This window comes from Homo sapiens, chromosome 10 (assembly GCF_000001405.40).
Source record: "Homo sapiens chromosome 10, GRCh38.p14 Primary Assembly".
NCBI classification, from domain to species: Eukaryota; Metazoa; Chordata; class Mammalia; order Primates; family Hominidae; genus Homo; species Homo sapiens.
In genome coordinates, this window is record NC_000010.11 from 86,556,278 (window position 1) to 86,579,334 (window position 23,057).

The window sequence follows — 23,057 nt, forward strand, 5'->3', positions numbered from 1 at the left end:
TAGTAGAGACAGGGTTTTACCATGTTGGCCAGGTTGGTCTCGAACTCCTAACCTCAGGTGATCCGCCCACCTCAGCCTCCCAAAGTGCTGGGATTTCAGATGTGAGCCACAGCGCCTGGCCTTAGACTCCACTAATTGATGTAAAGCATCTCCAAGGACATGTGGACATATTTTAAAAACCACCACAGGAGCTATTAAGCTGGCTGCTCTGGGCTCTGCAAGTGAAGTCTTCCCAGGCAAATGCAATGACAGCTGAATAATGAGGAGGGTGCACACCAACTTTAGGAAACACAGACATGGGGACAGACCCTGGCCATGCCATGGTCTAGGGCATGGGGCACAAGCAGAGTTCATTTTCTACGCCTAGTGCTGGATCTCATCTCAGGTGCCCAACTTGCTTGCTCTTCAAGCCGGCTCCTTCTTGGGCAGTGCAATCTGATCTGGCAAAAGAAGCACAAGCTTTGAATGCAGACAGACCTGTTTCCAAGCCTGGTTATGCCACCTACTAACACTCAAACTTGGATGAGTTACTCCCTATCTCTTTAAGGATTCTATCAGTCAGGGTTCTGCAGAAAACAGATGACACCCTCGATTGGGTAATTTGAGGACAGTTTAATAAAAACACTATTTACAAAGGTGAGGGTAAGGTGTAGAATAACCATGAGGGATAGTGCAGTACTCTGGGACTAGGAACAATAGGGCCGTTGCCTCCCCTGGGCATAAAGGGGCCAGCGAGGGGAGTGGTTTTCAGAACCCGGAGACAGAGAGACTGTGTGCAGGGCACACCTGTATGGAAATGGGACCTTCAGTGCTGCCCACAGCCAGTCAGTGGAGGCTCTGCAGAGGGAACCAGGGAGCGTGCACTCACCTGCGGCCTGTCACCTCCTGCTGGTGCCAGGGGAAGCCAGAGGAGGAAGGAGCTTGCTGATGCTGTCTCAAAGGCTCAGCTTCTAGGGGTTGAGTGGAGAGCCAATCTGGAGGGGCAGACAGAAGATACCCAACACAGAGATTACATGAAAAAAGGTATAAAACCAGCCTGGCCCAGAGAAGACACTCCAACTCCCTGCTCAAATGTTTACTTAATAAAGAGAGCAAGTAACGGTGTAGAAAAGGTGCTGGGCTTTACTTTGCATAATAATGCACACAAGTCAGCCGGGAGCGGTGGCTCACGCCTGTAATCCTAGCACTTTGGGAGGCTAAGGCAGGCAGATTACCTGAGGTCGAGTCCGAGACTAGCGTGGCCAACAAGGGGAAACCCCATCTCTACCAAAAATACAAAAATTAGCTGGGCGTGGTGGTGTGCGCCTGTAATCTCAGCTACTTGGGAGGCTGAGGCAAGAGAATTGTTTGAGCCCGGGAGGCAGAGGTTGCAATGAGCAGATATCATGCCATTGCACTCCAGCCTGGGCAACAGAGCAAGACTCTGTCTCAGAAAAAAAAAAAAAATGCACACAAGTGTGTCTTAACACAAAACACTTTGGTTAACATTTATAATTTGCCCCCAGGAAGGAGGAAAGGCAAACGTATGCTGTTTGGGAGGCACACCACAGCGTAGAGCAGCATCCAATGGTAAATACATGGGAAAATATGGGAATTCTAGATATTCCCATGAAATCAACTGTTACAAACCCAAGTAATGGTTTCCAGGCAAATTGGACAGGTTTGTCTAGGCCTCCTGGAATTTGGATGCCACGTTTCTTTTCTTTTTTTCTTTCTTTCTTTCTTTTTTTTTTTTTTTTGAGACGGACTCTCCCCGTGTTGCCCAGGCTGGAGTACAGTGGTGCGATCTCAGCTCACTGAAACCGGGTTCAAGAGATTCTCCTGCCTCAGCCTCCTGGTCTCGAACTCCTGACCGCAAGTGATCCACCAGCCTTGGCCTCCCAAAGTGCTGGGATTACAGGTGTGAGCCACCACACCTGGCCTGGATGCCACGTTCCTAATCACCCTTTTCTTGGAACCCATCTGAGGATGTAACCATGTAAAAAGTGCCAGCAGAGGATTCAGAATAAATTTCAAAACCGCAGTGAGCCATGCTGCCTGACAAAAATGGGAACTGACATTTAGTTGTCACCTATCAGCTAACCTCAAGGAAGTGTCTGCTTCACTTCTGTCCTTCCCTTTTCTTATTGGAAATACAATATAAGGACATAAATGGTGTTTTTAAAAAAGAAAATCTCTTGTAATCCCACACCATCAACAGCTCCTTTTTTGCAAGTGTGCTTTCTGTTCTTTGCTCTTGTAACTTCATATTATTATATAGTTATAGACTACTTACTCCACTTGTGTTTTTCAACAAAGACACCACAAAGACTTCATAATTATGAATCTTTAATCACTGAGTAATATCCATTGAGAAGATATACTATAATTTATCAGTTATTCCCTCACTGTACATTTATTCTGCTCTCCCCCACCACCGATTTTTTTTTCTTTTATAAAAAAAGTTTTCAGCCGGGCATAGTGGCTGAAAAATAAAAGTTCTCATGGACTTTTAAAAAAATTTATATATATTTATTTTTTGAGTTGGGGTCTCCCTCTGTTACCCAGGCAGGAGAGCAGTGGCGCAACCATAGCTCACTGCAGCCTGGAACTCCTGGCCCCAAGCCATCTGTATTAGTCAGTTTTCATGCTGCTGATAAAGACATATCTGAGACTGGGAAGAAAAAGAGGTTTAAAGGATTTACAGTTCCACATGGCTGAGGAGGCCTCACAATCATGGTGGAAGGCAAGGAGGACCAAGTTACATCTTACACAGATGGCAGCAGGCAAAGAGAGAGCTTGTGCAGGGAAACTCCCATTTTTAAAACTAGCAGATCTCATGAGACTTATTCACTATCATAAGAACAGCATAGAAAAGACCTGCTCCCATGATTCAATTAATTACCTCCCACCTGGTCCCTCCCACCACATATGGACTGTAGTCTGGGTTCTGTATGAATTTGAACATATGGGAATTCAAAATGAGATTTGGGTAGGGACACAGCCAAACGATATTATTCAGCCGCTGGCCCCTCTCAAATCTCATGTCCTCACATTTCAAAACCAATCATGGCTTCCCAACAGTCCCCCAAAGTCTTAACTCATTTCAGCATTAACTCAAAAGTCCACAGTCCAACGTCTTATCTGAGACAAGGCAAGTCCCTTCCACCTGTGAGCCTGTAAAATCAAAAGCAAGTTAGTTGCTTCCTGGATACAATGGGGGTACAGGCGTTAGGTAAATACAGCTGTTCCAAATGAGAGAAATTGGTCAAAACAAAGGGGCTACAGACCCCATGGAAGTCTGAAATCCAGCTCCAAAATGATCTCCTTTGACTCCATGTCTCACATCCAGGTTATACTGATGCAAGAGGGGGATTCCCATGGTCTTTGGAAGCTCCACCTCTGTGGCTTTGGAGGTATAGCCTCCCTCCCAGCTGCTTTCATGGGCTGGCATTGAGTGTCTGCAGATTTTCCAGGCACATGGTGCAAGCTGTCGGTTGCTCTACCATTCTGGAGTGTGGAGGACAGTGGCCCTCTTCTCACAGCTCCACTAGGTGGTGCCCCAGTAGGGACTCTGTGTGCAGTCTTGAACCCCACATTTCCCTTCTGCACTGTCCTAGCAGAGGCTGTCCACGAAAGCCCTGCCCCTGCAGCAAACTTCTGCCTGGGCATCCAGGTGTTTCTATACATCTTCTGAAATCTAGGTGGAGGTTCCCAAACTCAGTTCTTGACTTCTATGCACTGGCAGGCTCAGTACCATGTGGAAGCTGCCAAGGCTTAGAGCTTGCACCCTCTGAAGCCATGGCCCAAGCTCTACATTAGCCCCTTTCAGCCATGGCTGGGTGGCTGGAGCAGCTGGAACATAGGGCACCAAGTTCCTAGGCTACACACAGCATGGGGACCCTGGGCCCACCTCAGCCTCCCATAGTGCTGGGATTATAAACCTGAGCTACTGTGCCCTACCATGGACATTTTGTTTTTTTTTGAGACAGACTGTCACTCTGTCACCCAGGCTGGAGTGCAGTGGCGCAATCTCAGCTCACTGCAACCTCCAACTCCCAGGTTCAAGCAATTCTCCTGCCTCAGCCTCCCAAGTAGCTGGGATTACAGGCACCTACCACCACGCCCGGCTAATTTTTGTATTTTTAGTAGAAATGGGGTTTCACTATGTTGGACCAGGCTGGTCTCGAACTCCTGGCCTCAGGTGATCCGCCTGCCTCGGCCTCCCAAAGTGCTGGGATTACAGGCGTGAGCCACTGTGCCCAGGAGGACATTTTTATACAACAAAGTTAGTCCTTCTTGAGGCTTATTTTCCCAGAATGGCTGCAGTGGGATTCAGGGTGTGAGATGGTCAGGGATCTGGCCTCTGCTCTAAGGGTTGGCCTCTCCCACCCCCACCCTCCCCAGCTCCCCACTGCAGCGTGATTCCTCCTCTCAGCACAGCCACTGCTGCACTCCAGCAGTGGCTCAGACAACACTGAATGGAAAAGCCCAAATTAGAGCAAAGGGGACCCCAAACAAAAATATTATTTGACTTTACAGAACCCAGAGCCCAAACACCTAAAAGTTTTTTAATCACAACACCCTACCCTGAAATCCCAGGACTAATTGAAAAGCAAAATTGGCTACGTGCAGTGGCTCATGCCTGTAATCCCAGCACTTTGACAGGCCGAGGTTGGAGGATCACTTGAGCCCAGGACATGGAGACCAGCCTAGGCAACATGGCAAAACCCTGCTTCTACAAAAAATGCATGGCCGGGCACAGTGGTGCACCTGTAGTCCCTGATACTTGGGAAGCTGAGGTGAGAGGATCTCGAGCCTGGGAGGCAGAGGTTGCAGTGCGCTTTGATCACACCACATACCATTGCACTCCAGCCTGGGCGACAGAGGAAGACCCTGTCTCAAAAAACAAAAAAAAAGAAAGAAAAGCAAAATTGGAGTTTCAGTCCCCTTTGCCCAGCAACCCAGCCCTGAACTACAGTGTCATGCACGTCCATGTGAAGAGACCACCAAACAGGCTTTGTGTGAGCAACAAGGCTGTTTATTTCACCTGGGTGCAGGCGGGCTGAGTCCAAAAAGAGAGTCAGCAAAGGGTGGTGGGATTATCATTAGTTCTGATAGGTTCCGGATAGGCATACAAAGTATCTTCTTCAGGGTGGGGGGTGGGGGGGCGGGGTGGAGGGGCCGGTGGTGGGGAGAATATTACAAAGTACCTTAAGGGTGGGGGAGAATATTACAAAGTACCTTCTTAAGGGTGGGGAGAATATATCATATCAGTTAGGATGGGGCAGGAACAAATCACAATGGTGGAATGTCATCAGTTAAGGCTATTTTCACTTCTTTTGTGGATCTTCAGTTGCTTCAGGCCATCTGGATGTATACTTGCAGGCCACAGGGGATATGATGGCTTAGTGTGGGCTCAGAGGCCTGACATTCCTGTCTTCATATATTAATAAGAAAAACAAAACAAAATAGTGGTGAAGTGTTGGGGCAGTGAAAATTTTTGGGGGTGGTATGGAGAAATAATGGGCGATGTTTCTCAGGGCTGCTTCGAGTGGGATTAGGGGCGGTGTGGGAACCTACAGTGGGAGAGATTAAACTGAAGAAAGATTTTGGAGTAAGGGGTGGTATTGTGGGGTTGTTAGAAGGAGGATTTGTCATATAGAATGATTGGTGATGGCCTGGATGCGGTTTTGTATGAATTGAGAAACTAAAAGGAAGACACGAAGTCCGAATAAGAGAAGGAGAAAAACCGGTATTAAAGGACTAAGAATTGGGAGGACCCAGGACATCTAAGGGGGCTCAGCATAATTATTTGCTTGGTTGGTTAGTTTTTGGGCTCTATCCTTGTGTTTTTTTATGTTGTCATATACCAGGCCAGATTGATTTAGGTAAAAACAACACTCTTCATTAAAAATATACAGAGTCCTCCTTTTTCAGCAATGAGTAAATTGAGGCCTAGGCGATTTTGGAGGAAAGAGAAATGCAAAGCCAGCAATTGTTTCTTAAAGAAGGATTAGAAATGGCTAGGAGAGAGTGAGTGAGATTGATAGTGTGGTGGAGATAGCTGGGGAGAGGTAGAGGGTGGCATAAGAATGGGAATGAGAATAAGAGTGAGTATAAAAGTAAAGAATAAGACTTCATCTGGGTGAAAGTGTTGGAGTGTGTCCTGTCAGCAAAGATCATCTATCCACTCCAAGAGGGAGTCAAGAGTGGAGGATTGGGGATAGATATTCACGATGGAAAGGAAATGAGAGGTTTTAAGAGGTGGGCTAACAGCTTGTAACCTACATGGAAGAGGTTATGAAATGATGACAGAATAGAATGGGCCTGTGAGGCTGGAAGGAGATATTTTCCTTAGTCCAAGAACCATTTGCCTTGTGTGGGAAGAGATTGATAGGTGGAAACTTCAGTAGGAGAGTAAATAGGAGTGATCAATGAGAAGGAGAAAAACTGGCCATGAGGGACAGAAGTTGAAATGCTAGCTGCTTCTTTAGCTAACTTATCAGCATAAGTGCTGCCCTGAGCGATAGGATCTGATGCCTTTTGATGGCCCCTGCAGTGAATGACTCCAGCTTCCTTTGGAAGTAAAGCAGCTTTGAGAAGAGTTTTTATTAAAGAGGCATTAATGATGGAGGACCCTTGCATAGTGAGGAAATTTCTTTCTGTCCATATAACAGCATGGTGGTGCAGGATATGGGAGGCATATTTAGAGTCACTATAATACTGCGAGATACAAGGAGAGGGCCCAAGTTAAGGCAATGAGTTCGGCTTGCGGAGAGGTAGTGGAGGCGGGCAGAGCGGTAGCCTTGATGATAGATGTGGAAGATACTATAGCATAGCCTGCCTTTGCTGGTGAGCGGCGATTAGTCCTGGTGGAACTGCCATCAATAAACCAAGTGTGATCAGGGTAAGGAACAGGAAAGAAAGAAATATGGGGAAATGGAGTGAATGTCAGGTGGATCAGAGAGACACAGTTATGAGAGTCAGGTGTGGTATCTGGAATAATGTGGGAGGCCGGATTAAAGTCTGGGCCAGGAACAATGGTAATTGTGGGAGACTCAACAAAGACTGAGTATAGCTGAAGGAGCTGGGGGGCAGAAAGTATATGCGTCAAGTGTGAGGAGGAAAATAGATTTTGAAAGTTATGGGAACTGTAGAGAGTAAGTGGAGCAAAGCTTGTGATTTTGAGGGCCTCTAAAAGTATTAAAGCAGTGGCAGCCACCGCCTGCAGACATGAGGGCTATGCTAAAACAGTAAGGTCAAGTTGTTTGGACAGAAAGGCTGCAGGGCGTGGTCCCCGCTCTTGTATAAGAATTCTGACCGCAGAGCCCTGTACTTTGGCTGTGTGTAATGAAAAGGGTTGGGATGAGTTAGGGAGAGCTAGCGTGGGAGCAGATTTTAGGGCTGTTTTTTAGGGAATGGAAAGGGGAGTGGGGAAAGGATTTAGGATTTATGGGGTCAGCTAGGTTTGTCTAGAACAGAATGGGTTGTGGAGGGAGGTATTGAGGATAGGAGAGTATATGGGTTTGGCACCACAGGGTGGATAGGCAAGATAATTTGGCTGATAAGGCACAGATCCTGAACTAACTTGTAAGACCTGTCTGGTTTTTGGACAGGTAAAATGGGGGAATTTTAAGGAGAGTTTGTAGGCTTTACAAGGCCATGCTGTAACAGGCAAGTGATAACAGGCTTTAATCCTTTTAAAGCATGCTGTGGGATGGGATATTGGCATTGAGCGGGGTGAGGGTGATTAGGTTTTAATGGGGTGGTAAGGGGTACATCATCCGTCACCAAGGAAGGAGTAGAGGTGTCCTATACTTGTGGATTAAGGTGGGGAGATACAAGGAGAGGATGTGAAGGAGGCTTTGAACTGGGGGAAAAGGCGGCAATGAGGTGTGGCTGTAGCCCAGGAATAGTCAGAGAAGCAGATAATTTAGTTAAAATGTCTCGACATAATAAGGGAGCTGGGCAGGTGGGGATAAATAAAAAGAAGTGCATAAAAGAATGTTGTCCAAATTGGCACCAGAGTTGGGGAGTTTTAAGAGGTTTAGAAGCCTGGCCATCAATACCCACAACAGTTATGGAGGCAAGGGAAACAGGCCCTTGAAAAGAAGGTAATGTGGAGTGGGTAGCCTCCGTATTGATTAAGAAGGGGATGGACTTACCCTCCACTATAAGAGTTACCCAAAGCATCCGTGATGGTCCAGGAGGCTTCTGAGGTGATCGGGCAGCGTCAGTCTTCAGCCGCTAAGCTGAGAAGATCTGGGAAGGAGTCAGTCAGAGAGCCTTGGGCCGGAGTTCCAGGGGCTCTGGGAGTGGCTGCCAGGTGAGTTCGACAGTCCAATTTCCAGTGGGGTCCCGCACAGATGGGACATGGCTTAGGAGCAATCCCAGGCTGCAGGCATTCCTTGGCCCAGTGGCCAGATTTCTAGCACTTGAAGCAATATCCTGGGGGAGATGGTCCTGGAGGAACGCCTGGCCACTGCAGTTCAGACGTTTTGAAGTTCTTGTGTGCTGGAGATGTGGCTGGGGTTTCTCTCACAGTGGAGGCAAGGAATTGCAACTCTGAAATACGTTGCTACTTGGCTGCCTCTATTCTATTATTGTACACCTTGAAAGCGAGGTTAATTAGGTCCTGTTGTGGGGTTTGAGGGCCGGAATCTAATTTTTGGAGCTTTTTCTAATGTCAGGAGCGGATTGGGTAATAAAATGCATATTGAGAATAAGACAGCCTTCTTCTGGGGTCTAGGACAATAAAATGTCTAAGGGTGGTTGTTGCCAAATGGGCCATGAACTGGGCTGGGTTTTTATATCTGATGGAAAAGAGCCTAAATGCTAACTGATTTGGGACAGGTCAGATAAAGAAAAAAGGAGCATTAACCTTGATTATGCCTTTAGCTCCAGCCACCTCTTTAAGAGGAAATTGTTGGGTAGGTGGGGAAGGGCTAGTCGAGGAACGAAACTGTAAGCCAGACCGGGTGTGAGGAGGGGAGGTGATAGAAAGATTCTAGGGTTGGGGAGCAGAGGCTGAGGAAGAATTGGGACCTGGCTCAGCCTGGCAAGGAGCAGCCTGGGGAGAAGGGGAAAGGTCAGATGAGTCTGTAGAAAAGAAGGATTCAAAGGACTCAGAGCTTGGGGTGGAGACTGAAGGAACAGACAGGAGAGAAAGAAGAAAGATTTGGGACGAGTCTCATTGGGAGCAGAGACTAGGGAAGGACCAATGTGTGAAAGAATGCCTGGACGTCAGGCACCTCAGACCATTTGCCCATTTTTCGACAAAAATTATCTAGATCTTGTAGGACAGACAAATCCAAAGTGCCATTCTCTGGCCACTTGGAACTACTGTTGAGTTTGTATTGGGGCCAAGTGGTATTGCAGAAGAAAATAAGGCGTTTAAGTTTTAGGTCAGGTGCGAGTTGAAGAGGGTTTAAGTTGTTGAGAACAGAGGCTAAGGGAGAAGATGGGGGAATGGAGGGCGGAAGTTTGCCCATAGTGAAGGAGGTAAGTTTAAAGAGAAAGGTAGAGACACGAAGGGGGTGGGTGAGTAGCCCTGGGCTGCAATGTGGGTGAGCAGCCAAAGCAGGAGTCTCTGCAATTGACTTGCCACCAAGGGAATGTGGGTGAATGACCAAGGCAGGCGTCCCTGCAGTGATCAGACACCAGTGAAATGTGGGTGAATAATCCGGCATCCCCGCAGTGATTAAACACCAAGGGAAGACTGTTTTCCCAAGTCCGTGACTGGCGCCGGAGTTGTAGGTCCGCGGACAAAATGTGTCTCCTTTGTCTCTACTAGAGAGGAAAAAGAACTGGAATTGGAATGACAGGGAGATTGAAGGGTAGTGAGAGAGGAAGATTGAAGGGTAGCGAGAGGCTGGAGAAGAGTGAAAAGACAGCTTACCTGATTTGAAATTGGTGAGATGTTCCTTGGGCTGGTTGGTCTGAGGACCCGAGGTCATAGGTGGATCTCCTCACAGAGTAAGGGCGAGGACAGGGGACCGTTCTCCCGAAGGAGTCCTCCTGTCCTGGGTCTTTGGCACCAAATGTCACACATGTCTGTGTGAAGAGGCCACCAAACAGGCTTTGTGTGAGCAACAAGGCTGTTTATTTCACCTGGGTGCAGGCGGGCTGAGTCCGAAAAGAGAGTCAGCAAAGGGTGGTGGAATTATCATTAGTTCTTACAGGTTTGGGATATGTGTACAAAGTACCTTCTTAAGGGCAGGGCGGGGAGAATATATCATATCAGTTGGGGTTGGGCAAGAACAAATCACAATGGTGGAATGTCGTCAGTTAAGGCTATTTTCACTTCTTTTGTGGATCTTCAGTTGCTTCAGGCCATCTGGATGTACACGTGCAGGTCACAGGGGATATGATGGCTTAGCTTGAGCTCAGAGGCCTGACATACAGTTTCCTTGGATTCAGGTTTCTGAACTTTAGACTTGTTGCACAGAGGTGATATTTTCCTGTGAGAGAGTCCAGGCCTGGGGATTTCTGAGTATTTTGTTTTCAACCTTGTGGAAGAAGGATGAACTGCATTTCTCTCTGTCATGGGTTTTCTGGCCCTAGTTAGTGACCTGATGAGGCTGGGATCCAGGCACCTGGGTATGAGCCTTGAGCACCTCTGAACCTCAAACAAGAGCAGGACTCATTCCTGGGTCCTGACCAAAGTGGAAGTCTGCAGGATCTCTGGGGGAGGTCCTTGGACAGGAAAAAGCATCAGAAGTAAGCCATGCATCTCCTCAGGGCCTGGCCCCACGAACCCCTGAGAAGGGATTGTCGACAAAAAGCATCAAACTGTAAAATATTTGAAGAGATTTATTCTGAGCCAAATATGAGTAACCATGGCCCGTGACACAGTCCTCAGGAGGTCCTAGGAACATGTGCCCCAGGTGGTCAAAGCACAGCTTGCTTTTACACATTTTAGAGAGGCATGAGCCATCAATCAAATACACTTAAGAAATACATTGGTTTGGTCCAGAAAGGTGGGACAACTCAAAGCGGGGGTTTCCAAACTATAGGTGAATTTAAACATTTTCTTTCTTTTTTTTGAGACGGAGTCTCACTTTGTTGCCCAGGCTGGAATGCAGTGGCGTGATCTGGGCTTACTGCAACCTCTGCTTTCCAGGTTCAAGCGATTCTCCCACCTCAGCTTCCCGAGTAGCTGGGATTACCATGCCCAGCTAATTTTTGTATTTTTAGATTTCGCCATGTTGGCTAGGCTGGTCATGAACTCCCGATCTCCAGTGATCCACCCACCTTGACCTCCCAAAGTGCTGAAATTACAGGCATGAGCCACCACGCCCGGCCGAATTTAAACATTTTCTGGTTGACAATTGGTTGAGTTTGTCTGAAGACCTCTGGGATTGATGGAAAGGGAATGTTCAGGTTAAGGTAAAAGGTTGTGGAGACCAAAGTTCTTTTAAGTCTTATAGTGACTGCCCTTAGAGACAATAGATGACAAATGTTTCCTATTCAGATCTCAGTTAATGTCTTTAGAATTAGGAGGGTCTGGAAGAAGAACGTCTAGCTATGTTAATAGAGATTCTTTACAGAGGCAATTTTCCCCTACAAATAACGGCTTTGCAGGGCCATTTCAAAATATGGCAAGTAAACATGTTTTGGGGTAAAATATTTTGATTTTCTTCTTTTTCTTGTAATATTATGCCAGAGTCAGGTTGGAAAGTAAATCATGGCCCGGTGTGGTGCTTCAGGCCTGTAATCCCAGCACTCTGGGAGGCCGAGGTGGGTGGATCACCTGAGCTCAGAAGTTCATGACCAGCCTGGCCAACGTGGTAAAACCCTGTCTCTACAAAAAAATACAAAAATTAGACAGGAGTGGTGGTGGGCGCCTGTAATCCCAGCTGCTTGGGAGGCTGACGCAGGAGAATCACTTGAACCTGGGAGGTCGAGGCTGCAGTGAGCCAAGATCGTGCTACTGCACTCCAGCCTGGGTGACAGAGCAAGGCTCCGTCTCAAAAAAAAAGAAAAAAGAAAAAAGAAAATAAATCATGATATATAGGGTTAAATAAAACCCATCTGATGAAAATTTATGATTTGTAGGGCATGACTCCCCAGGCCCCTTAGATAGGAATCTGGGCAGCCGGGCGTGGTGGCTCACGCCTGTAATCCCAGCACTTTGGGAGGCAGAGGCGGGCGGATCATGAGGTCAAGAGATCGAGACCATCCTGGCTAACACAGTGAAACCCCGCCTCTACTAAAAATACAAAAAATTAGCCGGGCATGGTGGCGGGCGCCTGTAGTCCCAGCTCCTCGGGAGGCTGAGGCAGGAGAATGGCGTGAACCCGGGAGGCGGAGCTTGCAGTGAGCCGAGATCACGCCACTGCACTCCAGCCTGGGTGACAGAGAAAGACTCCGTCTCAAAAAAAAAAAAAAAAAAAGGAATCTGGGCAAGATAAAAAAAAAAATCAGAGTTTAGTCTTCAGGCTGCAGTGCTTGTCTGGTCATGCGTGTGCCTGTTGGTGTCAGAGTGAGCAGGAACTCTCAGGGAGCTGCATTTAGGGATTGCCCTGTCCTTCAACTTCTGCTTGGCCTTGGCCTCAACTGTCCTGTGCTGAGAGCTGGCTCCTGAGAAGACCCTGCACCCAGTGTAGTGCTTGGGTAGAGCTGACCTGGCAGAGGCCCTTAAATCCTGAAGTTTCCCACATGGCTCAAAAAGAAATCCCTCCAGAGGCCTCTAAGAATATGGATGTGTGGGCCAGGATTGAAGCAAAGACAACTACCTTCTCTTTCCCTTTGGGGAATCCTGGCACTGACCAGCCTGCTCTGTTCTGGGATTTGTCTTGTCAGCTGTGCATGTCTCATTTAAGGAGCTTGGGTCACTTCAGACAGAGGATACTCTTGTAACCACCCAATGGGTTCACTTTGCCCACTGCCTAGACAGAGCCAATTTATCAAGACAGGGGAGTTGCAATAGAGAAAAAGTAATTCACACAGAGCGGGCTGTGCAGGAGACTGGAGTTTTATTATTACTCAAATCAGCCTCCCTGAGCATTGGAGGATCAGAGTTTTTAAGGACAATTTGGTGGGTGAGGGGAGGGCAGCCAGTGAGTCAGGAGTGCTGATTGGTTGGGTTGGAGATGAAATAATAGGGAGTTGAAGCTGTTCCTGGGTGGGGACCTTAGATGAGCCACTTTATAGATCTGGGTGGTGCCAGCTGATCCATCAAGTGCAGGGTCTGCAAAATATCTCAAGCACTGATCTTAGGCTTCACAATAGTGATGTTATTCCCAGGAGCAATTTGGAGAGTCAAGTAGCCTCCAGCTGCATGACAATGGCAGGGCAAGTCCCCAGGCAAGAAGGGAGTTTGTTTTGGGAAAAGGCTGTTAATCATCTTTGCTCTAAACTATAAACTAAGTTCCTCCCCAGAATTAGTTCAGCATACCCCCAGGAAAGAAGGGGGACAGATTGGAGGTTAGAAGCAAGATGGAGTTGGTTAGTTCAGATCTCTTTCACTGTCTCAGTTATAATTTTGCAGTGGTGGTTTCACTCTCCCCCTACCACTTCCATGGCTGAAGGGCCTGTGATGTCAAGTCTGGGGGAAATGCTGCTGGACCAGGTCACACAGGCTCCTTCTAGCGAAGGATTTCTTCCACACCATGGTCTGAGCTGAAAGATGATTCAGGAGTACTTTGCATTTCTGGAAGGAGAGGATGCAATTAGGCAAATCCTGAAAATGAGATACATGTCATCAATACTAAAGACTGTGTATCTAAGCTAAGTCCTGCAATGCTGGGGAAACATTTTGCTTTGTTTAAAAAAAAAAGTGCTTGGGCCTCGGAAGGGCCAGGATGTGGAGTGGAAAGCTCAGGGTCAGATGGGCTTAGGTGTGCATCTCATGCTTTGTGAGGTTCATGCATTAAAATGATACCACAATAAGATACCTCCTCTTTTTCTTTCTTTCTTTTTTTTTTTTTTTTGAGACAAGAGTCTCGCTCTTGTTGCCCAGGCTGGAGTGCAATGGCGTGACCTTGGCTCACTGCAACCTCCACCTCCCAGGTTCAAGCAATTCTCCTGCCTCAGCCTCCCAAGTAACTGGGATTACAGGCACCCGCCACCACACCCATCTAATTTTTTGTATTTTTAGTAGAGACAAGGTTTCACCATGTTGGCCAGGCTGGTCTCAAACTCCTGACCTCAGGTGATCCACCCACCTCTGCCTCCCAAAGTGCTGAGATTCCAGGCATTAACCACTGCACCTCTTCATCCCCATTAGGACAGTTATTATTTTTACAAAGTGTTGGTGAAGATAATAGAGAAATTAGAACTCTCATACATTGCAGTGTGAAAGGAAAATAAATCCTGGGGCCCCTAAATCTCTAAGCTAAAGGGAAAAGTCAAACTGGAAACTGCTTAGGGCCTACCTGCCTCCCATTCTATTCAAAGTCATCCCTCTGCTCACTGAGATAAATGCATATCTGACTGTCTACTTGAGACTAATCAGATACTCAAAAGAATGCAACCATTTGTCTCTCTTTTTTGGGGGGAGGGGGGACAGAGTTTTGCTCTTGTTGCCAGGCTGGAGTACAATGGTGTGATCTCAGCTCACTGCAACCTCCATCTCTTGGGTTCAAGCAATTCTCCTGCCTTAGCCTCCCAAGTAGCTGGAATTACAGGTGCCCGCCACCATGCCTGGCTAATTTTTTGTATTTGGAGTAGAGACGGGGTTTCACCATGTTGGCCAGGCTGGTCGCGAGCTCCTGACCTCAGGTGATCCACCTGCCTAGGCCTCCCAAAGTACTGGGATTACAGGCTTGAGCCACCACGCCCGGCCCATTTGTCTCTTATCTACCTATAACCTGGAACCACGCTTCCTGGCTTTGGCTTTGGTTTTCCCACTTTTGATTCCAGTTGTCCCACCTTTACTTCCAGTTGTCCCACCTTTACTTCCAGTTGTCCCGCCTTTCCAGACCGAACCAATGTTCATCTCGCCTATACTGATTGATGCCTCATGACTCCCTAGAATGTATAAAACCAAACTGTGCTCTGACCACCTTGGGAACATGTCGTCAGGATCTCCTGAAGGTGTGTCATGGGCACACGTCCTCAACCTTGGCAAAATAAACTTTCTAAATTAACTGAGACCTGTCTCAGATTTTCAGGGTTCACAGCAGGTGGGGATATAAAAAGATGAGCTGCTATGGAAAATAGTATGAGTTTTCTTTTTTAGATAAAGTTTTGCTCTTGTTGCCCAGGCTGGAGTGTAATGACACAATCTCAGCTCACCGCAACCTCCGCCTCCCGGGTTCAAGCAATTCTCCTGCCTCAGCCTCCCAAGTAGCTGGGATTATAGGCATGTGCCACCACGCCTGGCTAATTTTGTATTTTTAGTAGAGACAGGGTTTCTCCATGTTGGTCAGGGTGGTCTCAAACTCCCGACCTAAGGTGATCCGCCTGCCTCGGCCTCCCAAAGTGCTAGAATTATAGGCATGAGCCACTGCATCCAGCTGAGAGTTTCTTAAAAAGTTAAATATAGCATTACCATATTATTCAGCAAGTCACTTCTGGGTAGAAACTCAAAATAATTGAAAGCAGGCCGGGCGCAGTGGTTCACTCCTGTAATCCCAGCACTCTGGGAGGCCGAGGAGGGCGGATCACCTGAGGTCAGAAGTTCAAGACCAGCCTGGTCAACACAGTGAAACCCCGTCTCTACTAAATATACAAAAATTAGCTGGGAGTCGTGGCGGGTGCCTGTAATCCCAGCTACTCGGGAGACTGAGGCAGGAGAATCGCTTCAACCCAGGAGCCGGAGGTTGCAGTGAGCCGAGATCGCGCCATTGAGCTCCAGCCTGGGCAACAAGAGCGAAACTCCATCTCAAAAAAAAAAAAAAAAAAAAAGCAAGCATATAGAGGTTACCAGGGGTTAGAGGGAAGGAATGTGGGGTTACTGTTTAATGGGTGAGGGGTTTTTGGAATAAGGAAAAAATTCTGAAAATGGATAGTGGTGATGGTTGAACAACATCGTGAATGTACTTAATGCCACTTAACTGTACACTTAAAAATGGTTAAAATGAAGGCCAGACATGGTGGCTCACACCTGTAATCCCAGCACTGTGGGAGGCTGAGGCAAGCGGATCACCTGAGGTCAGGAGTTCGAGACCAGCCTGGCCAACATGGAGAAACCCCATCTCCACTAAAAATCTCCAATAAAAATTAGCCTGGTGCATTAGGAGATATACCCAATGCTAAATGACGAGTTAATGGGTGCAGCACACCAACATGGCACGTGTATACATATGTAACAAACCTGCACGTTGTGAACATGTACCCTAAAACTTAAAGTATAATAAAAAAAAAATTAGCCGGGTGTGATGGCATGGGCCTGTAGTCCCAACTACTCGGGAGGCTGAGGCAGAAGAATCGCTTGAACCCAGGAGGCAGAGGTTGCAGTGATCTGAGATCTTACCACTGCACTCCAGCCTGGGCGACAGAGCAAGACTCCATCTCAAAAAAAAAATGGTTAAATGATATTAATAAAATTCATATTATGTATATTTAATCACAATAAAAAAGATATCAATCCTTTCTTTGTAGTTTTCTTGGGGATTTGGGAAGAGTGAAATTAGCTACACATATTTAATTCACTTTTTTTGTTGTTGTTTTGTTTGAGACGGAGTCTTGCTCTGTTGCCCAGGCTGGAGTGCAATGGCACAATCTCCGCTCACTGCAGCATTTGTCTTCTGGGTTCAAGTGATTCTTCTGCCTCGGCCTCCCAAGTAGCTGGGATTACAGGCACACATCACCACGCCTGGCTAATTTTTGTATTTTTGGTGGAGATGGGGTTTCTCTGTGTTGGCCAGGTTGGTCTGGTGATCCACCCACCTTGGTCTCCCAAAGTGCTTGGGATTACAGTTGTAAGCCACCGCGCTCAGACAGCAGCAGTCTTTTGTCATACACACGAGAAGAGCAATCACACACACCTTCATCCCTGAAGTCCTTTTTCCTGTCTTTTGAATTTCTTTCAAATTTCGAAAGCAATATAGGAATTCATGATTGTTACCAAAAAAAATCTCAAATTGTAACTGTGTGAAAAAAAGATCACTTTCACACATTCTCCATCCTTTTTCCACCTTTACATTTCAACCTGCAGTCACCAACTGGCTGAAACCATCACTGGCTTGTACCTGTCAAAGCTTCCCAGCAAGCTTCAGATAGCAGCCTGAGCCAGGACCCAGGTCTAGCAGCCTCTTCTTAGAAAAGCCTCTGGTGTTCTCGTGTCTGACTCCCACCCCTACTGCGCCTTGTCTCTCTCTCTCTCTCTCTCTCTCTCTCTCTCACACACACACACACACACACACACACACACACACACCAGCAGCAGCAGCAGTCTATTGTAAGATTGAAGGAACTGCTGTATCCTCTTTTCTCTCTCTCTCTTTTTTTTTTTTTTTTTGAGACGGAGTCTGTCTCTGTCACCCAGGCTGGAGTGCATTGGCACGATCTTGGCTCACTGCAACCTCCATCTCCCAGGTTCACGTGATTCTCCTGCCTCAGCCTCCCAAGGAGCTGGGATTACAGGTGCGTGCCACCACGCCCGGCTAAGTTATGTAGTTTTTGTAGAAACGGGATTTCACCATGTTGGCCAGGCTGGACTTGAACTTCTGACCTCAAGTGATCTGACCACCTCGATCTCCCAAAGTGCTGGGATTACAGGTGTGAGCCACCACGCCTGGCCCTGTATCCTCTTCTCTCTTTCTTTTCCACCAGTGGTATCAGTCTGGAGATTCCATATAGTTTGTGGGTTCCTTTGTTTGCTTGAATTTCCAGATGGAGAATCCCTGACACAATCCAGATGCATCAACCAGGGTTATTAGTTGCAAGCAAAGCATCCGGAACCAACTCCAACAGGTTTAAGAAATGGAATGTATAGAATGAATACGAAAAAAACTGGAAACTCAGGCCTGGGAAATAGGTCCAGGGGAAGCTATGCAGCCAGAGTACAGCAAAAATTATGCCATAAAATGAGACCAGTGATAGGAAATAGGGCCAGTGCTGCAACTACTTGGTGTCAACAGGGGACCCGGGACATCACTGCTGGACCCACTGTCAGCCCTGGACTCCCTAACATTTGTTCCAGGACATCTCCACTGCCCTACAACGTGGATGGTGCCCTTGCTGTGGTTGATCATCCTAGAAAGGATTCTTTGCAATACAAGATCCCAGTTCAGATCTGGGCAGGATGCAGTTGATTGGTCAAGGCTGTATTATAGATGCCCATTTTCTATGTGCAAAAAAGCTGGAAAAGCAAGTGTCTGGTCTTACGGCTTCTATAGTTGAAGATTAAGGTCTTGTCTCCCAACAAAAGGCAGCCTTAAAAGTCAATACTCCATTTCACCCATCTTCACTGATATTTTCTCCAGCCTCCTGAGTTACTGTACTAATCACTGCCCAGACATTACATTTCCTTGTAGTGCACAGCAGAGTTCCTGAAGATTTAAAGAAAAAAATCAACTGAAGAATGATTTCTGATGCTGACAATGAAAGACACTTGCTTGGATGGAGGCAGGGTGTGCACATGTGTGTGTATTTGTGTGTGTGTAATAATTTTATGGCATTCTCACTATATTTGATATTATTATTGATTTTTTTCAGGTTGTTATTTTTATTTTTAGAGACAAGCTCTCGCCCTGTTGCCCAGGCTGGAATGCAGTGGCATGATCATAGCTCACTGCAGCCTCAGCCTCTCAGGCTCAAGTCATTCTCCTGCCTCAACTTCCCACATCACTGAGAGAACAGGCATGAGCCATTGTGCCCAGCTGGTATTTTAAATTTACATTTTTGTATAGGCAATATACTCACCTGGTTCAATATAAAAATTTTCATTCTTAGAAGTCTTGCTTGCACCCAAGTCACCATCCAGCCCATTACCTCCCTACTGGCCTTTGGTAGAGAACTACTTTATTGTGAATCTTTCCAATTTTTGTTTGTTTTGTTTTGTTTTGTTTTGTTTTGTTTTGTTTTTATAGAGACTGGGTTTTGCCATGTTGCCCAGGCTGGTCTCGAAGTCCTAGACTCAAGCAAAGTCCACCCACCTTGGCCTCCCAAAGTGCTGGGATTACAGGCCTGGTTTTCTCCAGTGTTTGTTTATGCAAATAAAAGAAAATATAAGTAAGTATGTATTCTTATTTCCCTGTCTTTCTTACAAAAACAGGTAGCATGTTATTTTTACTGTTCTGCATCCTGCCTTTACATTTAACAACATTTTCTTGAGAAAAAAATTTTTGGGGGGGATAAGGGTTTCACTCTATTGCCAGGGTGGAGTGCAGTGGCATGATCTTGGTTCACTGCAATCACTGCCTCCCAGGCTTGCATGATCCTCCCACCTCAGCCTCTCAAGTAGCTGGGACTACAGGGAGTGCACCACCATGCCCAGCTGATTTTTGTAGTTTTTGTAAAGGCAGGGTCTCACTATGTTGCCCAGGCTGGTCTTGAACTCCTAGGCTCAAGTGATCCGCCCGCCTTGGCCTCCCAAAGTGCTGGGATTACAGGCATGAACCACTCTGCTCAGCCAATAAATTTTTATATCGATATATAAAAAACTTTTATTACTTTTTTACTTTAAAAGTACTTTCATCTGGGCCGGATGTGGTGGCTCACACCTGTAATCCCAGCACTTTGGGAGGCCGAGGTAGGCAGATCACCTGAGGTCAGGAGTTTGAGACCAGCCTGACCAACATGGTGAAACCCCATCTCTACTAAAAATACAAAAATTAGCCTGGCCTGGTGGCATGCGCCTGTAATCCCAGCTATTCAGGAGGCTGAGGCAGGAGAATCACCTGAACCTGGGAGGCAGAGGTTGCAGTGAGCCCAGATTGCACCACTGCACTCCAGCCTAGGTGATAGAGTGGGACTCCTTCTCAAAAAAAAAAAAGAAAAAAAACACAAAAAACTTTCATCTACTATATAGATGAACTATGGTTTATTCAACCAAACAGAACAGATGGACGTTTAGGAAGTTTCCAGTATTTTGCTATTAAAAACAATTTAGCAATAAGTAAACTTTATCTTATAGTAAATTGTAGTAAATATAGTAATACAGTAAATAATCTTATAATAAGTAAATAAATTTTTTAAAAACCCAGTCTTACAGTAAATACACATTATTTTGTCCATATGCAGGAATATCTGTCAGATGCATTTTTAGAAGTGGGACTGCAAGGTTAAAGTCTGTGTACATTGTCATTTTGGTGGATAGTGCCAAATTTCCTTCTATGGGGGAGGTGCCAGTTTGCACCCAGACCAGCTATGTATGAGGCCTGTTTTCCCACAATCTCAAAGTGTGCTGTCAGCCTTTTGAATTTTTGCCAATCTGATAGGTGAGAAACTTAATTTCAGTGTGGGTTAGATTTGCATTTATCGGCTGATGCCTGTAATCCCAGCACTTTGGGAGGCCAAGGCGGGCAGATCACTTCAGGTCAGGAGTTCGAGACCAGGCTGGCCAACGTGATGAAACTGGTCTCTACTAAAAATACAAAAATTGGCCTGGCACAGTGCCACGTGACTGTAGCCCCAGCTACTCAGGAAGCTGAGGCATGAAAATCGCTTGAACCCAGGCAGCAGAGGTTGCAGTGAGCCAAGATCACTCCATTGCATTCCAGCCTGGGCGATGGAGCAAGACTCCACCTCAACAAAAAAAAAAAAGAAAAAGAAAAAAAAAAAAGAAAAAGCATGCACATAGTTTTTAGAAAAAGCAACGCAAATTACCCTTAAACCTGTGAAAAAATGTTTAGCTTCACTCATAACAAGAGAAATGCAAACTTTTTTTTTTTTTGAGATGGTGTCTCCCTCCGTTGCCCACTGGAGTGCAGTGGAATGATCTTGGCTCATTGCAACCTCTGCTGCCTGGGTCCAAGCGATTCTCCTGCCTCAGCCTCCTGAGTAGCTGGGACTACAGGTCACTATGCCCAGCTAATTTTTGTATTTTTAGTAGAGATGGGGTTTTGCAATGTTGGCTGGGCTGGTCTCGAACTCCTGACCTCAAGTGATCCGCCTGCCTCAGCCTCCCAAAGTGCTGGGATGACAGGTGTGAGCTACTGTGCCCGCCCTGCATTTTTCTATAAAACTAGTGGTCTTTGACTTCTTAATTTCTAGAGGTTCTTTTGTTGTTGGTGGTGTTTTTTTTGTTGTTGTTTGTTTTTTTGTTGTTGTTTTTTGGTTTTGGGGTTTTTTTTTTGAGAGAGAGAGAGATAGGGTCACACTATGTTGCCCATGCCGGTCTTGAACTCCTTGAGTCAAGAGATCCTCCTGCCTTGGCCTCCCAAAGAGCTGGGATTACAGGAGTGAACCACTGTGCCCAACCATTTTTTTTTTATTGTTAGGTTGTAAGAATTCTTTATATATTCTGGAAATAGTCTTTATCAGACATATATAATTTGCAACTATTTTCTCCCATTTTATGGATTGATTTTTCACCTTTGTTTGTTTGTTTGTTTGTTTGAGTCAGAGTCTTGTTCTGTCGCCCAGGCTGAAGTGCAGTGGCACAATCTTGGCTCACTGCAACCTCCGCCTTCCCAGTTCAACTGATTCTCGTGCCTCAGCTTCTCGAGTAGTGGGATTATAGGCATGTGCCATCACACCCAGCTAATTTTTGTATTTTTGGTACAGACGGGGTTTCACTTTATCGGCCAGGCTGGTCTCAAACTCCTGACCTCAAGTGATCCACCTGCCTCGGCCTCCCAAATTGCTGGAATTATAGGCATGAGCCACCATGCCCCCTTGACTTTTCACATTTTTGATGGTGTTTTTTAAGTTCCAAAAGTTTTAAATTTTGATGATGGCCAATTTCTCCTTTTCTCTTTGCTTGCTTATGCTTTCGGTGTTATATCTAAGTAAGCATTTCTTTTTTCTTTTCTTTTCTCTTTTTTTTTTTTTTTTTTTTTTTTTGTGATGATGTTTCGCTCTTGTTGCCCAGGCTGGAGTGCAATGGTGCAATCTCGGCTTACTGCAAACTCCGCCTCCTGAGTTCAAGCGATTCTTGTGCTTCAGCCTCCTGAGTAGCTGGGATTACAGGTGCCCGCCCTGATGCCCGGCTAATTTTGTATTTTTAGTAGAGACGAGGTTTCGCCATGTTGGCCAGGCTGGTCTCAAACTCCTGACCTCAAGTGATCCACTCTCCTCAGCCTCCCAAAGTGCTGGCATTACAGGCGTAAGCCACCACGCCCAGCCTGTAATTTTTTTCTTAATAGCCAGACATAATGCACTAGGTGAAAGGAGCTTCTGTAAATGGGCCTTTAGTCCTGTGGTGGTAAGGTTTATAAGGAGGGGAAGTATTCTATAGTCCTATGTTTCCATCTCAGTCTTTTAGTGAGCTGGTTTTTCTGGACTGGGAACTTCAGATGTTTCTCTCTCTCTCTCTCTTTTTTTTTTTTTAGACTAGTTCTTGCTCTGTCACCCAAGCTGGAGTGCAGTGGCACAAACACATCTCACTGCAGCCTCGACTTCCTGGGCTGAAGCAGTCCTCTTGCCTCAGCCTCTGAGTAGCAGGGACTACAGGTGTGTGCCACCATGCCTGGCTAATTTTTTAATTTTTATTTATTTTTGAGACAGAGTCTCACTTGTCACCAGGCTGGAGTGCAGTGGCACGCTCTCGGCTCACTGCAACCTCTGCTCCCGGGTTCAAGCGATTCCCCTGCCTCAGCTTCCCCAGGGACTTCAGGCTAATTTTTTGCATTTTAGTAGAGACAGGGGGTTCACCATGTTGGCCAGGATGGTCTCGATCTCCTGACCTCATGATCAGCCCATCTCAGCCTCCCAAAGTGCTGGGATTACAGGCGTGAGCTACCGCGCCTGGCCAATTTTTAAATTTTTTATAGAGACAGGGTCTCACTATGTTGCTCAGGCTGGTCTTGAACTCCTGGGCTCAAGCAATCCTCCCACCTTGGCCTCCCAAAGTGCTAGGATTATAGGGGTGAGCCAGTGTGCGCGACCTTCTCAGTTTTTTTCTCCCCCCTTCGGTGGGAGAGGGTGGCTAGAGTGGGCTTGGATTGGGTATTTGCTACAGTCTTGTTGGATTAGTTGCAAGTTTTCTGCCATGTAATTAGCCCATTTATGCCTGAGGTTGC

At 46.5% G+C, this 23,057-nt stretch overlaps 1 long non-coding RNA gene across 2 annotated transcripts, besides 1 other annotated feature; it reads right to left on the reverse strand.

The window, feature by feature from the left end:
• Window positions 1-50: 50 nt before the first annotated feature.
• Window positions 51-10,125, reverse strand: LOC105378406 (uncharacterized). 2 transcript variants are annotated; one of them, XR_946160.1, is made up of 3 exons: window positions 9,881-10,125; window positions 869-974; window positions 51-435 (listed from the first exon to the last, which is right to left on the reverse strand). It is a non-coding gene; the product is annotated as an uncharacterized LOC105378406 (long non-coding RNA). The 2 variants fall into 2 exon arrangements; XR_946159.1 differs by having other exon boundaries at window positions 51-440.
• Window positions 16,617-16,786: an enhancer, noted in NCBI's record as "experimental_17874 CRE fragment used in MPRA reporter constructs". NCBI's record gives its function as "activates a minimal promoter by MPRAs in K562 erythroleukemia cells, with activity observed for the non-introgressed 10:88332736 variant allele {active_cell/tissue: K562}" and the evidence as "EXISTENCE:reporter gene assay evidence [ECO:0000049][PMID:34662402]".